Genomic DNA, 14,476 nt, shown 5'->3' on the forward strand with positions numbered 1-14,476 from the left:
ATTAGCTGGATGTGGTGGCACTTGACTGTGATCCTAGCCACTGGGGAGGCTGAGGTGGGAGGATCCTTTGAGCCCAGTAGGTCGAGGATACAGTGACTCATGAATGCACCACTATGCTCCACCCTAGATGACAGAGTAAGACTGTCTCTAAAAAGTAAACAAAATACATAAATTTTAAAACTTTATATAAGCAGTACTATATATAATGTAATTTTTTTTTCTTTTTTTAAGACAGAGTCTCCTTCTGTCACCCAGGCTGGAATACAGTGGCGCAATCTTGGCTCACTGTAACCTCCACCATTCGGGTTCCAGCAATTCTCGTGCCTCAGCCTCCCAAGTAGCTGGGATTACAGGCATGTGCCATCAGGCCTGGCTAATTTTTTTGTATTTTTAGTAGAGATGGTGTTTCGCCACGTTGGCCAGGCTGGTCTTGAACTCCTGGGGCCTCAAGCGATCCACCTGCCTCGGCCTCCCAAAGTGCTGGGATTACAGGCGTGAGCCACAGCGCCTGGCCTACAATGTAACTTTTTTCCCTCATTGTGATTTGGAGTCATAGATGTTGGCACCTAATGCACATTCATTCTCACTGCTGTATAGTATGCATTATAAGAATATACAACAATTTATATATCCCTTCTGTAGTCACTTGGTATTGTCAGATTTTTTTTTAAACTTTTGCTAATCCAGCAGCTGTGAGATAGTATCTCTTTATAGTTTATTAGTCAGTTGCACATTTTTTTCATATTTGCCCTTTTGTGAATTGCCTATTTGTGCCTTTTACTGATTTTTTTCCATTGGGCTATTTGTCTTTTTCTTATTGAGTTGAAGGAGCTGCTTATTTATTCTAAATATTCCTCTTCTACTGAGTATATACATTGCAAATGTCTTTTCCCATCTGAGAGCCTGTTTTTCTGCGTTTTCCTTGGTATTGCTGGCTGAACAAAAGATATTTTGTTAATGTGGATGAATTGGTCAGTATTTTCCTATATGATTTGTATTTTCCGCTTCCTTTGCAAAATCTTCATACTAAAGTCATAAAATACGTGCTTACATTCTCTTCAAAAAGTTTTTAGTTTTTGATTTTCACATTCACATCTTTATTCATTGAGGAATTGATTTTTGCATACGTTTTAAGGCAGAGATCCATTTTCTAATTTTATTCGTATGGATAGCCAGTTGTCTTGGTGCCTATTTATTGTCTAATGTCAAATACCAAATTTCCATAAACGCAGGATTTGTTTCTCAGTTCTCTGTTCCACTGGTCTGTGTATGTCAGCTTTAATATCAAACTGTCTTGATTACTGCACTTTATTGTAACACATCTTTATTTCAGGTGTGATGTATACCCACACCTTGTTCTCTCACATTACTTTGGATGTCCCTGGGTCTTTGATCTTCCGTAACTTTGAGGAACAGCTTGTTAAACCATGAAAAGTTCTGATAAGAGTTTTAATTGAATTGCATTGAATTTTAGATTAACTTGGATAATTATTTTTAGTATTCCTGCTCATGCTCATGACTGTGGTATATATTTCCCTTTGGTCATATTATTTAGTTGTTTTCACTAATGGTTTATAACTTTTTTTTTTTTTTTTGAGATGGAGCTTCGTTCTTGTCACCCAGGCTGGCGTGCAGTGGCACGATCTTGGCTCACTGAAACCTCTGCCTCCGGGTTCAAGGGATTCCCCTGCCTCAGCCTCCCAAGTAGCTGGGATTATAGGCACCCGCCACCACGCCCAGCTAATTTTTGTATTTTTAGTAGAGACGGGGTTTCACCATGTTGGCCAGGCTGGTCTCTAACTCCCAACCTCAGGTGATCCACCTGCTTTGGCCTCCCAAAGTGCTGGGATTACAGGCCTGAGCCACCACACCTGGCTTATTCTTGTTATAATTTTCCTAATCACAAAAGATATATCTTTTGTTAGATTTATTTCTTGGTGCAATATTTTTGAAGCTATTGAAAATACTGCCTTTTTCTAATTATATTTCCTAACTGATTATTGCTGATGCCTAGAAATGTAATTGGTCTTTGCATATTTATGTTTAACCATCTTGTTAAACTCTTATGTTAATTCCAATAATTCGTTTATGTATTTTTTTGGGTGTCTATGAGACCATCATCATCTGTCAATAATGACAAGGTTATTTTTGTTTGTTTCTTCTTTTTAATATACTTTTTTTTTTCCTATTTTTCCTACACGGGTCAATACCTTCAGAACATTGTTAAGCAGAAGTATTAATAGCTGAGTCTTCCATTGTTGATTTTAGAAGAAAATGATTCTAACATTTCACTGTTAAATGTGATATTTGGTGGTGATGTGTCAGTCAGTGGCTTTATTAGGTTAACAAGATTTCTATGCCAAATTTTCAAAGTTTTTATCATCCCTACCTCATTAGGCTTAGAGCAAGACTTTGGTAACAACGGAAATAATTTGGAGTCATGCTCTCAGCTGAAACACAGAGTTTCCTTCCATAAGGTCTAGAAACCTGTGCAGAACATGAAATGTAAACCCTTGAGCAGCCATAATTTTTCTCAAGTATCACACTTCTCAGTTTCCAGTGGGATCTTTTCAGCTTTCACGGTCTCAGCATCCTATTTATCAGTGGAAAGTAATCAGGGAAAGGCAAAAAGCATTGAGTTCGTTCAACCCGTGACCATATTCTGAAAAGATCCCAAGTAACCCAAAGCTTGTCCAGGTCAGTGTGTTTCATCCCTGATTCACCTGGGGGAAATACGCTAGCCACTTGACCAATTTGAGCTTGACTTTCCTCCTCATAAAATTATATTCCCTTCTAAGCACAGCTGCAAAAAGAAAAAGATAAAAGATAAAAAAGAAAAATTATATTCCCACTACAGCCACGTTGAGGAATGGAATAATTTCCTTACATATATGTTTTACATATATTCTAACTTCACTATTATGAAAATTGCTACAATGGACATCTGTGTTTCATAACACTTGTCCAAAGATTGAGTCCTTGGAACAGTTTGGTTTTTAAATAATTTTTGTATAAGTAAAATTTTTCTCTTATCAGTTCCTCTCCACAGAAGCAATCAATGTTACAAGTTTGTTGTATTTTCTTCCAAAGATAGAGTATGCATATGCAGGTCAAATTTTATTTATATACCCGTTCTTTTTTGGTCCTCCTTTACCCAAATGGTAGTACAGAGAAATGGGACTTGACAGTTCCACTGGTAATTGAGTCCACAGGCAAGGCTTAGATGCTGTCCTGATACTGCAGAGTCCAGTCAAATCCTGTGCAACACACCGCTTTTCGCAGCCAAACAACTTGAAATTTTACATCCCATGTTACGTAAAAAATTGGAAATTTTCAGGTATTCTTGTGGTATAGATAATTTATCTGGTTGAATGAAGATGGTGGAAACTTATCTCTTTGACAGTTTGGTTGCAAGTCTGGGGCAATTTAATTTATTTATTTATTTTTTATTTTTATTTTTATTTATTTGTTTATTTATTTATATTGATCATTCTTGGGTGTTTCTCGCAGAGGGGGATTTGGCACGGTCATAGGACAATAGTGGAGGGAAGGTCAGCAGATAAACAAGTGAACAAAGGTCTCTGGTTTTCCTAGGCAGAGGACCCTGCGGCCTTCCTCAGTGTTTGTGTCCCTGGGTACTTGAGATTAGGGAGTGGTGATGACTCTTAACGAGCATGCTGCCTTCAAGCATCTGTTTAACAAAGCACATCTTGCACCGCCCTTAATCCATTTAATCCTGAGTGGACACAGCACATGTTTCAGAGAGCATGGGGTTGGGGGTAAGGTCATAGATTAACAGCATCCCAAGGCAGAATTTTTCTTAGTACAGAACAAAATGGAGTCTCCTATGTCTACTTCTTTCTACACAGACACAGCAACAATTTGATTTCTCTATCTTTTCCCCACATTTCCCCCTTTTCTATTTGACAAAACCGCCATAGTCATCATGGCCCGTTCTTAATGAGCTGTTGGGTACACCTCCTAGACGGGGTGACGGCTGGGCAGAGGGGCTCCTCACTTCCCAGAAGGGGCGGCCGGGCAGAGGCGCCCCCCACCTCCCTCCCGGACGGGGCGACTGGCCAGGCGGGGGCTGCCCCCGCCTCCCTCCCGGACGGGGCGGCTGCTGGGCGGAGACGCTCCTCACTTCCCGGACGGGGCGGCTGCCGGGCGGAGGGGCTCCTCACTTCTCGGACGGGGCGGCTGCCGGGCGGAGGGGCTCCTCACTTCTCGGACGGGGCGACTGCCGGGCAGAGACGCTCCTCACTTCCCGGACGTGGCAGCTGCCGGGCGGAGGGGCTCCTCACTTCTCAGACGGGGCGGCCGGGCAGAGACTCCCCTCACCTCCCAGACAGGGTGGCGGCCGGGCAGAGGCGCTCCTCCCATCCCAGACGGGGCGGCAGGGCAGAGGCGCTCCCCACATCTCAGACGATGGGCGGCCGGGCAGAGATGCTCCTCACTTCCTAGACGGGATGGCAGCCAGGAAGAGGCGCTCCTCACTTCCCAGACTGGGCAGCCAGGCAGAGGGGCTCCTCACATCCCAGACGATGGGCGGCCAGGCAGAGACGCTCCTCACTTCCCAGACAGGGTGGCGGCCGGGCAGAGGCTGCAGTCTCGGCACTTTGGGAGGCCAAGGCAGGCGGCTGGGAGGTGGAGGTTGTAGCGAGCCGAGATCACGCCACTGCACTCCAGCCTGGGCAACATTGAGCACTGAGTGAACGAGACTCCGTCTGCAATCCCGGCACCTCGGGAGGCCGAGGCTGGCAGATCACTCGTGGTTAGGAGCTGGAGACCAGCCTGGCCAACACAGCGAAACTCCGTCTCCACCAAAAAAATACGAAAACCAGACAGACGTGGTGGCGTGCGCCTGCAATCCCAGGCACTCGGCAGGCTGAGGCAGGAGAATCAGGCAGGGAGGTTGCAGTGAGGCCAGATGGCAGCAGTACAGTCCAGCTTTGGCTCAGCATCAGAGGGAGACCGTGGAAAGAAGGGAGAGGGGGCTCGGCATCAGAGGGAGACGTGGAAAGAAGGGAGAGGGAGGGGGTGGGGAGGGGGAGGGGAGGGGGAGAGGGAGAGGGAGCAATTTAATTTAAAGACAGGCATGATTGTTGACATTTTTATACAAACTGATCGTCAGCTCTAGTAAACTTCCACAAGAGACCTCATTCTATATATTGTTTGACTCCCTGCTTTTTTCATTTAGTCTTTATGAACATTTTAAAGCTCTCGAGACATACAGCCAAATTGCTTTCCTTTCAGCCGTACATTTTGGTATCTGAAAACTTGCTGTGCAGCAGCACCATGGCAGGTTCTGGGCACTGAATCCGTGAGCAGTGTTGTCATGGTCCCTGCCATGTGTGGAGCTAATGGTCCAGTCTGCCAGAGAGCCACACTGTATGCATAGGGGTGTGTGTGTGTGTGTGTGTGTGTGTGTGTGTGTATGTGTATGAACATGGTGAGTGTTAGAGGGGAAAAGGGCAGGGCAGTGAGAGTAAAACAGGAGTCTCAACCTTATCCAGTGACTGTACACTTTCCGATTGTCAATATTGTAAGTATTCAAACCAAACTGATTGAAACCTGGCCGGGCATAACTCGGTGGCCGAGCCAGCACCTCTGAGCAGGGCACTGGACAGGCTGAGCTTCCTGCCACCTGACTGGGAAACTCTGTTTGAAGCTCAGAGGTTTCCAGATCTCCAATTTCAAGTCAGTAAGTGGTACACCTCAGCTGGCAGGTGGCCCCCTTTATGTTATGTAGCTTTCCAAAGTGTTCCACTGTGGAATCTGCTGTCATCTACTGGAACCAATCGTGAGACCAAAAGTAGGTAATAAAAATGTTAAATACCTAATGATTTATCTTCTGAGAAAGGTGTTAATTCCTCAATCTTCATGCAACCTTTAAAAAGAATTCTCTGGGCCATTTTATTAAACATAAATTCTTGTTGGTAAGTTATGAAATCATGCCAGTGTAGCTTTTAGAACTCTGAAAATCAATCAGAATTAACATATTGTTAGGGCCTTTCACACTTATCCCTGATTTTAGGCATAGTATCAGCAGGGCATGGTGGCTCGCCCTTGTCATCCCCACACTTCAGGGGGCTGAGGCAAGGGGATCACTTGAGCTGGGGAGTTTGAGACCAGCCTGGGCAAAATGGTGAGACTTCCATCTCTACAAAAAGATATAAAAATTAGCCAGTTGTGGTGGTGCGTGCCTATAGTCTCAGCTACTCTGGAGGCTGAAGCATGAGGATCACTTGAGCCCAAGAGGTCAGTCGAGGCTGCAGTAAGCCATGATCATGCCACTGTAGTCTAGCATGGGAAACAGGGTGAGACCCTGTCTCTTAAAAAAAAAATAAAAATTAAAAAGGCATAGTATCTTATTTCAGATTTCATTTGACAGATAGGAGTGAAGACCCTTAAAATGTGCCAAGTCATGAAGAATTGTAAGCACAATAAAAATCTGGTAGACTCTTGAGTGTTCTGGTTGTTTCCTTTTACCTTCCCTGCTGTGAAAGTAAATCTCTTGAGTAAATCCTAGATTTCAGAAGGTTTCAATTTGACAGATGCTTCTTTTTTTTTTCTTTTTCTTTTTCTTTTTCTTTTTTTTTTTTTTTTTTTGAGGTGGAGTCTCACTCTGTCAGCCAGGCTAGAATGCAGTGGTGCGATCTTGTCTCACTGCAACCTCCGCCTCCTGGGTTCAAGCAATTCTCCTGCCTCAGCCTCCCAAGTAGCTAGGATTACAGGCGCGCGCCACCGCACCCAGCTAATTTTTGTATTTTTAGTAGAGATGGGGTTTCATCATGTTGGCCAGGCTGGTCTTGAACTCCTGACCTCAGGTGATCCGTCCACCTTGGGCTTCCAAAGTGCTGGGATTACAGGTGTGAGCCACTGAGCCCAGCCAATGCTGCATTTTAAAAGATAGATGTTTCCATGGCCAGAAAAATATCTGCTAACTAATCTTTGCCAATTAGAAAAGTTTATTTTTTCTTCCGTTATACTTACTCATTATTTTCAAAAGTTAACCAAAAATAATTCCCTGTGAACAGAAGTTGTTGCTGTTACGTGATTGCCACAATAGCAGCAATGCATTTCTTAGGGTTTTTTTAAATGGAAAATCACACTTTATCTGAAATGTAGTTTCAGGATTAAAAATTGTATGTGTGCATGTGTGTGTGTGTGTAAAGATTATTAGACTCCAAATACACTTTCCTCTAAATGAAGACCTATGTGACTTTAAAATAGAATAAATTCTATCAAAATCAGAGCTACCTGAGGAAATGAAAATAAAGGTAGAACAGAGTTTTCCTTTGATAAGAAGGTGGTGGAGAACTGGCCAACCACAACTGCAGGCGCTCGTCTTGGGCTGTTTCCCATTCAGAAGGTCCCTCCCTCTCTCCTGGCCTCCCCTCCCCCAGAGTCTAATCAAAGGATTAGCCTACAGGTTTGGAAACAACAGCCGCTTGAGTTGAAGGCTTTTTACCCCCTTCTTGTGATTAAATGCAGGAACTAGAACAGTCTTTGGCTAGCTGGACTCAGAACTTGAAAGAACTTCAAACTATGAAGGCGGACTTAACCCGGCACGTTCTCGTGGAAGATGTGATGGTTTTGAAGGAGCAAATAGAGCATTTGCACAGACAATGGGAGGACCTCTGCTTAAGGGTAAGTCAGCTCACTGCAGGGCACGGCTGTTTGGGAGTGGATTGAAATGTCTCTGAAGGCCAGACAAAGTAGAAAGGAGCTTAATTTCATTGAACCGGAGGCCCTTTTCAGTGGGACCCCTGGCCCGGCCGCTGCTCCTTTAGAAGGCAGCAACAGGTTTAACAGATTTGACCCTTTTGTTTCTCCAGCACTAAATGCTAGAACTTTGCACGCTTTTAATGAGCTTTTTTAAAAAGTCACTTTAAGTGGAGACAGAAATTGCAATTCTGATCAGATGTGTAGACTGCTCTCTGGCTTGTGTAGGTGGCAAGTCCTAATCAGTGTATCAGAAGCTGGACCCAGTGAAGAGGTCCTTTACTGGGGAGTCTCTTCTGGGCCTAACAGCAGGAGTCTTACTTCATGCCCACCAGGCATGGGAGCATTTCATATGAGTACTCTGCATTCACAGGAACCTGATGTTTATTTCAAGTAGCTGGTTTCTAAAATCCTGTAAGAGAAATGATCAACTGCTATGTTGTCTCAATGGATCACTTCAACTTATTAAGAATGGGATTGTATTAATAGAGTATTACACGGTATAGGCTTGTGACAGGATCAGTATTGAATTAAGGGGTTCAAATAGTCTTAAAGATCTTTGTTTTAAGAACAGAGAATTCCAACGAAAATAAATTCCTTAATCTCATTTTTGTGAATTAAGAGATGTATTTAAAAAGTTGAAATTCAGACACGTTCTCCTTGATTTTAGTATTTAATATTCACAATGTACCCTAATTTTAAATGTTCTTTTAGAACTTTTCAATTTTTATACAAAAGAAAATGTTTAGAATATATGAAAAGTGTTCTGAAAGTTAAGGTAGACAGGAAGACTGGGGCCCAGATGTTCCTAATTGTTACTATTATGAAATCAATCAGAATGACAATGTGCAAAATGCCAGGATTTTTAAAAGATAAACAGATGCCCCGAGGAATGGAAACACAACACTTGTTTTTCTAGGATAGTTTTTCAAGCCTTTTTAACACGTTTGGCTGGCTAGGATATATAAGCATTCAGTATTTTCTCCTCCGAAAAGAGCAGAGGTTTCTTTATACACAGCAGGAAAATCTCAGAGAATTCACCCTTGGTTTCCTGGTCCATATAGTGGGGTGTCAAAACTTTACCAAAAGAACTCTTAGCCACCCCTTTTAACGCTAAGATTCTGAAGATTCTTAAAACCTGGGAATACTTTTGTACATCTAGTTAGGCTGATTTGCATTATTTAAATTTATATTTAGTGAAATTTAAACCTTTAAGGAGGAGGACCCTTAGCTGATGTCAGTTTAGGGGTTACTTATGCATAATGGGGTATTGGGTATTTTGGGGTCAGCCTGCTTGCTGCAGACCAGCTGTTGATGATACTTTTATGGTTTCCATCCAAAATCCAGTGCATAACGGGCAAGTGGGTTAAATGAGTGATGTACATTGTTTTTGGTTTTGCTTTGTTTTGAAGCATAACACTAAGGACATTTAAACGGCTGTAGTTTTCCTGGTCCATTTGCATTATAAATGTTTGATTGACATTCTATCTGGATTAATAGTTTTTAAGTTAAATAGGACATTGTCCTTATGTTGGTATAAGGATTTGATTCGTTGTTATAAGGGCAAGGATTTGGGTTATATCTTCATCTAGCCTTTCCTGTTTCTAATTTTTACTATAACCAGATAGTAACACACGAGTATTGGATAAAAACAATCCTTCCAATCAGCTACATTTCAGGTACAGTATTTATTTTGTTATTTTTTATGACATTTATCACAGGTGTAAGGAACTTCTGTTGATGCTAAACCCTAGGTTTAGAAGAGGCAAAACCAGACAAGGTTGAGTGCGGAGAGCTACTGATTAAAATGAATGAAACTCAGTTTTTTTGAGGGAGAGAAGGGGGTGCTTTCCTTCCTGGCTATACTCAGCTGCCAAATGTATTTTCATTTGCAGGTGGCCATACGTAAACAGGAGATTGAAGACAGACTCAATACATGGGTTGTATTCAATGAAAAAAATAAAGAGTTGTGTGCCTGGCTGGTGCAGATGGAAAACAAAGTTCTACAGACAGCGGACATTAGTATTGAAGAAATGATTGAAAAGTTACAGAAGGTAAGGGAGGACACCCAGGTGGATGTAGTTATGACTACCATGGAATTGTCGGCCCTCCTCACTCCTAAGCCCAAACAGGGGCAATGTTACGGGTGTTTCCAGTAGCATTTTAGAAATTTGAAGGGACTTCACTATTTTCGATCCTTTTGAGAGAACAGTTGGAAGAGAGGAGGTTCCAGAGAGATGGGAGTGTGAGACCATTGTCAGTGGGCATGGTACCGAGGAGAGTTGCTTTCTCTCCATTAGAAAGTTTCACCAGGGAAGGGGCTTACATATCCTTACATGTCAGCTGATACCCCAAGTGAGTTAGGGTTTCTCTAGTTGTTATTAAGAAGCTCCCCTTGGCCTGGCGTGGTGGCTCATTGCTGTAATCCTAGCACTTTGGGAGGCCAAGGCGGGTGGATCACCTGAGGTCAAGAGTTCAAGACCAGCCTGGCTGACATGGTGAAACCTCGTCTCTACTAAAAATACAAAAATTAGCCTGGTGTGGTGGTGGGCACCTGTAATCCCAGCTACTTGGGAGGCTGAGGCAGGAGGATTGCTTGAACCTGGGAGGTGGAGGTTGCAGTGAGCCGAGATGGTGCCATTGCACACCAGCCTGGGCAACAGAGCAAAAATTCCATCTCAAAAAAAAAAAAGAAGCTCCCCTTGTTAAAGGGGAGAGGCCAACAGCAGTGAGGCTCATAATTTTGAAATGATCAGTGGTCTCCACAGGGAAAAGTAATAACATTCTTGCTGTAGTCACCTAAAACACCACCCAGTCAAACCTCTGGAAAACTGTAACTGATAGCAGCCTAATTAGTTATGCTCAGTTGTCCTCAGCTCCCACGTAGGTTAGAAGAAATCTGTGAGAGGAAACAGAGGGCTTTTGAATTAAATAACTATTAAAAATAATTATTGCCTTACATATTTTGCTTTTGCCTGATGCGCGTTGCCTGACTTTTTAGCTGCTCACTGAAAAGTTAGCTTCATTAGAAGGTATGAGGTTTTGAGACAGTGTCTCACTGTGCTGGAGTGCAGTGGCGAGATCATAGCTCACTGCAGCCTCAACCTTCTTGGCTCAAGGGGTCCTCCCACCTCAGCCACCTGAGTAGCTGGGACTACAGACATGTGCCAGCATACCTTGCTAGTGTTTTTAGAAGTGGGGTCTTGCTGTGTTGCACAGGCTAGTCTTGAACTCCTGGACTAGAGTGATCCTCTTGCCTCGGCTTCCCAAACTGCTGGGATTATTGGTATGAGCCACTATGCCTGGCCAATTTTTTTTTTTTTTTTTAATTTCAAGAGGTAACTCTATGTCTGTGGCTGGAGAAGAAATGAGTTTGGGCTAATTAGCCAGGCTTTATGTTTTGGTGCCTTTGCCAGGACTGCATGGAAGAAATAAACTTGTTTAGTGAAAACAAGTTACAGTTAAAGCAGATGGGTGACCAGTTGATCAAGGCCAGCAACAAATCAAGAGCAGCTGAGATCGATGACAAGCTCAACAAAATTAACGATCGTTGGCAACATCTTTTTGATGTCATCGGATCAAGGTAAGAAATGGGCTAAAAATGATTACTCTCCAGGAACAGTAATTACTTTACAGATCTAGTAAACTGAACCCAGTCTTCCTCTAAGATGATCCAGCAATTTTATAAGTTTACAGATTAAGGCAAAGTTTGATAAAAATGAGTGGAAATTCTTTCAGTGTTACAAAAAGAATTATATGCTAGTATATCCCACCTTAATATTTTTTCTTTAGCTTACAACTTTACATGAATTAGAGTAGTTTTAATGAAGAGTTGGAAACTGATTTGGAAAGGGATCCTTGGGAGGGGGTATTGTTTAGAAATTCTGCCTCTGTGTTAGCATTTGTGTGTCCCCACAGTGGAGCCATGCCCGTTGCTCCTGCCTCAGTATGGCAGATCAGGTAAGGGCACAGGCCTGGCTTCTGGATGCTGGGGGCCCATGACTGCCCCACTACTTGCACTCAAGGCAGGGGCAGGAGTCTACTCTTAAAGTGTGTGGGCTCAGAGTGCCAGGTCTCCCATGGGTGTCTTGTCCTAGGATGTGGATTTGGGCGCAGCCCAGTCCTAAATCAAAGGACCACAAATCAAAGCTATATTGGCCAGTGCAATCTTATCAGAAATAGCGCTGATAATTTTATCTCTCCTCCCAAAATGATGATGATGCCCAAAATTTTTAAATGTCTTCAAATTCCCTCTCTAAAGACAAACTCCAGGTGGATGTTTTTTCAGTGGCCACGTGGCATACAGCGAACCGTCACTTGGCCTTGGGACCACTTGTGCAGCTGTGCTTCCACTGGCCACACGGGTCCTTTCCATAGCAGTGTGCTCAGATGTTTTGAACAACACATAGAATTTGGAATATACAGGAGAACCTATAAGGTGAATAAAGAATTGGGAGGTGATAAAAGTAAGATACTTTTATCTTATTATTTAAATTTATTATTTAAATTAAATTTATTATTTAAATTATTATTTAAATTTAATAATTTAAATTATTAAGTTTGGCATCTTCTTTACCTCATTGTTTACTGGAAACCACAAGTGAACCTGAGTCAATCAACAGAGGCACTGAGCTAAATGCTATGAGAATTACAGGCAGGAAGTAAGTTGAGTCAGTTACATTAGTGGGAGTAGGTATCTGAGCATCTGTAAAACCAAGTGGTTTGAGAGCTCAGATCCCATCTTCCTGGGATTAGGAAGAGCCTTACAGAGGGGCTGCGTTCCCAGATGGTCCTGAATGAGGGATTGCGGTTACTGGTGGCAGAGAGAGAGACACATACATTGAGAGCAAACAGGTACAGAATAGAGCAGCATCGAAGCCGTTCAGGAAGTGATGAGAAGCCCCACTGGCCCCAAGCATAGGAGATGAGCTAGAAAGATGGGCTGGGGCTAAATCTTAGAAGACTTTAAATCTCTGCTAAATACTTGGCCTTCTGAAAAAATATCTGAGTCATGCCTGGTTCCTTAGCAGTGGAGGGTTTGCTGAAGACAAATATTAGGGGGATTTGGCTGGCAACATAGACTGGCCCAAATTCAACTTCTCTCCACAGCCAGTTGGGGGAAAAAAAACAAACCTACAGAAATGCATGATGGAAACCTAAGTAAGGATTAAGAGCACAAGTTTTGAACCATTCTTGACTTTCCCACTTATTCACTGTGGAAACTTGAGTATGTGATTTAACCTTTCTAGGCCTCAGTTGCTAAATCTGTAAAATGGGTCTAATTGGCTTACATCAGAGGCCGCTGGTGCTGTCTGCTGTGAGGATATGTGTCATGCCTTTGGTATGGGGCCAGCACATATGAGCCAGCATTTATGGAGTGGTTGTTTTCATTACTTTTCCATGAGAAGACTCTTAGGTCGTGTGTTTATTGAGTGGAAGATGATTCTGTTGGTTATGTCTAGTGATGAGAGGTCTTTCCCTAGTGAGGCCTGCAACTGGACTACCTAATTCTCAGAGCTTAGAATAGCGCGTCAGATGTTTGTTGAAATGAGTAAATGTTTCAGTGCATTCGTTAAGAATAAGATAATTTCTGTGGGATAAATTGTGTCTTTGTGGTCGCCTTTATAGCCTAAGTCTTCTCGGGCCCTTGGCACTAGTCGAGGGTATGATGGCATCAAACCCATTCATGGATCATACAGGATCAAGATCTAGCTAATGTTTCCTGAAGGTTAGAATGACAGTCCATTTTTAATCGTTCATGCTCTGCTTGTATCACTTTGGAGTTTAACAGGCTATTTGCTTTCCTCGCTCACTCTTTGCCTGTCTTCAGCCAACCTTTTGGTGGGAAAGAGATAAAACAGTGGGTAAAATTTTATTGATCTTTTTGGAAAGAACAGCTGGGGGAAAAGGAGTTGAAATAATAGCAAATATATTGCCAGCTGCCTATATTCTTAACAATATGCCTTTTATGTGTGATTTCACTTAAACTTCACTGTGATTCTGTAAAGTAGATACCATTGTCCCATTTTACATACCAAGAAGGAAACTGAGGACTGAAGCTAAGCAGCTTACCCACAGTTACATAGCCAGCATGTGACGTAACCAGGATTTCAACTTAGGCAGTGTCACTTCCCTGACAGCCCAGACCCTCTCATTTGAAACACTGAAATGAGCAGTACGTGCTGAGTGCTAATCCCTTCAGCACTAAGGAATTTGGGAGGGAATCATTTTTCTTATTTTAAAGCAAGGGCCAGGCTGAGACAGACAGCTAGAATCTAAGAAGCTCTTAGCTGAGTTTATTGTTCAGGTGAATCTGTGGGTTGAGGCAGCAAACTTGGACCTGTCATAATCAGCCTTACATAGAATCAGCCTTACATAGAATCCCTGATGCTGACTTCACCCTGGGCCTTGTACAAAGGAAGGGAAGGGTTGGAAGCACAGGCTGCAAACTTTACATTTGAACAGTGGCGACAAGAACCTGCTCTGCGGGATGCCCTGATGGCTTCATTTGCCCACAGGATCCAGGACACCATGTAGCCTCTTCCATCCTTCCCACAGTATTCTGCTTTGGCCCTGTGGGCAGGGAACAGCAGCTCTTGTTAAAAATAAGATCGGCCAGGCATAGCGGCTCATGCCTGTAATCCCAGCACTTTGGGAGGCTGAAGCCAGTGGATCACCTGCAGTCGGGAGTTTGAGACCAGCCTGGCTTACATGGCGAAACCCCATCTCTACCAAAAATACAAAAACT

At 43.0% G+C, this 14,476-nt stretch overlaps 1 protein-coding gene across 28 annotated transcripts in view, besides 2 other annotated features; it reads left to right on the top strand.

Moving 5' to 3' along the window:
- SYNE2 (spectrin repeat containing nuclear envelope protein 2) overlaps positions 1-14,476 on the top strand; it is a 464,854-nt gene that overhangs the window by 417,331 nt on the left and 33,047 nt on the right. For all 28 annotated transcript variants that reach the window (XM_047431152.1, XM_011536576.3, XM_047431149.1 and 25 more), the window contains 3 exons: positions 7,498-7,653; positions 9,624-9,782; positions 11,145-11,311. In XM_047431152.1, coding sequence (XP_047287108.1) covers positions 7,498-7,653; positions 9,624-9,782; positions 11,145-11,311 — 482 coding nt within the window. The remainder of the gene's footprint in view (positions 1-7,497; positions 7,654-9,623; positions 9,783-11,144; positions 11,312-14,476) is intronic.
- Positions 3,387-4,248: an enhancer, noted in NCBI's record as "OCT4-NANOG-H3K27ac-H3K4me1 hESC enhancer chr14:64649031-64649892 (GRCh37/hg19 assembly coordinates)". NCBI's record gives its function as "activates a minimal SCP1, AML or CMV promoter by ChIP-STARR-seq in naive H9 embryonic stem cells {active_cell/tissue: H9 hESC(naive)}" and the evidence as "EXISTENCE:reporter gene assay evidence [ECO:0000049][PMID:30033119]".
- Positions 7,235-8,026: an enhancer, noted in NCBI's record as "NANOG-H3K27ac hESC enhancer chr14:64652879-64653670 (GRCh37/hg19 assembly coordinates)". NCBI's record gives its function as "activates a minimal SCP1, AML or CMV promoter by ChIP-STARR-seq in primed H9 embryonic stem cells {active_cell/tissue: H9 hESC(primed)}" and the evidence as "EXISTENCE:reporter gene assay evidence [ECO:0000049][PMID:30033119]".

Source organism: Homo sapiens, chromosome 14 (assembly GCF_000001405.40).
Source record: "Homo sapiens chromosome 14, GRCh38.p14 Primary Assembly".
Lineage (NCBI taxonomy): Eukaryota > Metazoa > Chordata > Mammalia > Primates > Hominidae > Homo > Homo sapiens.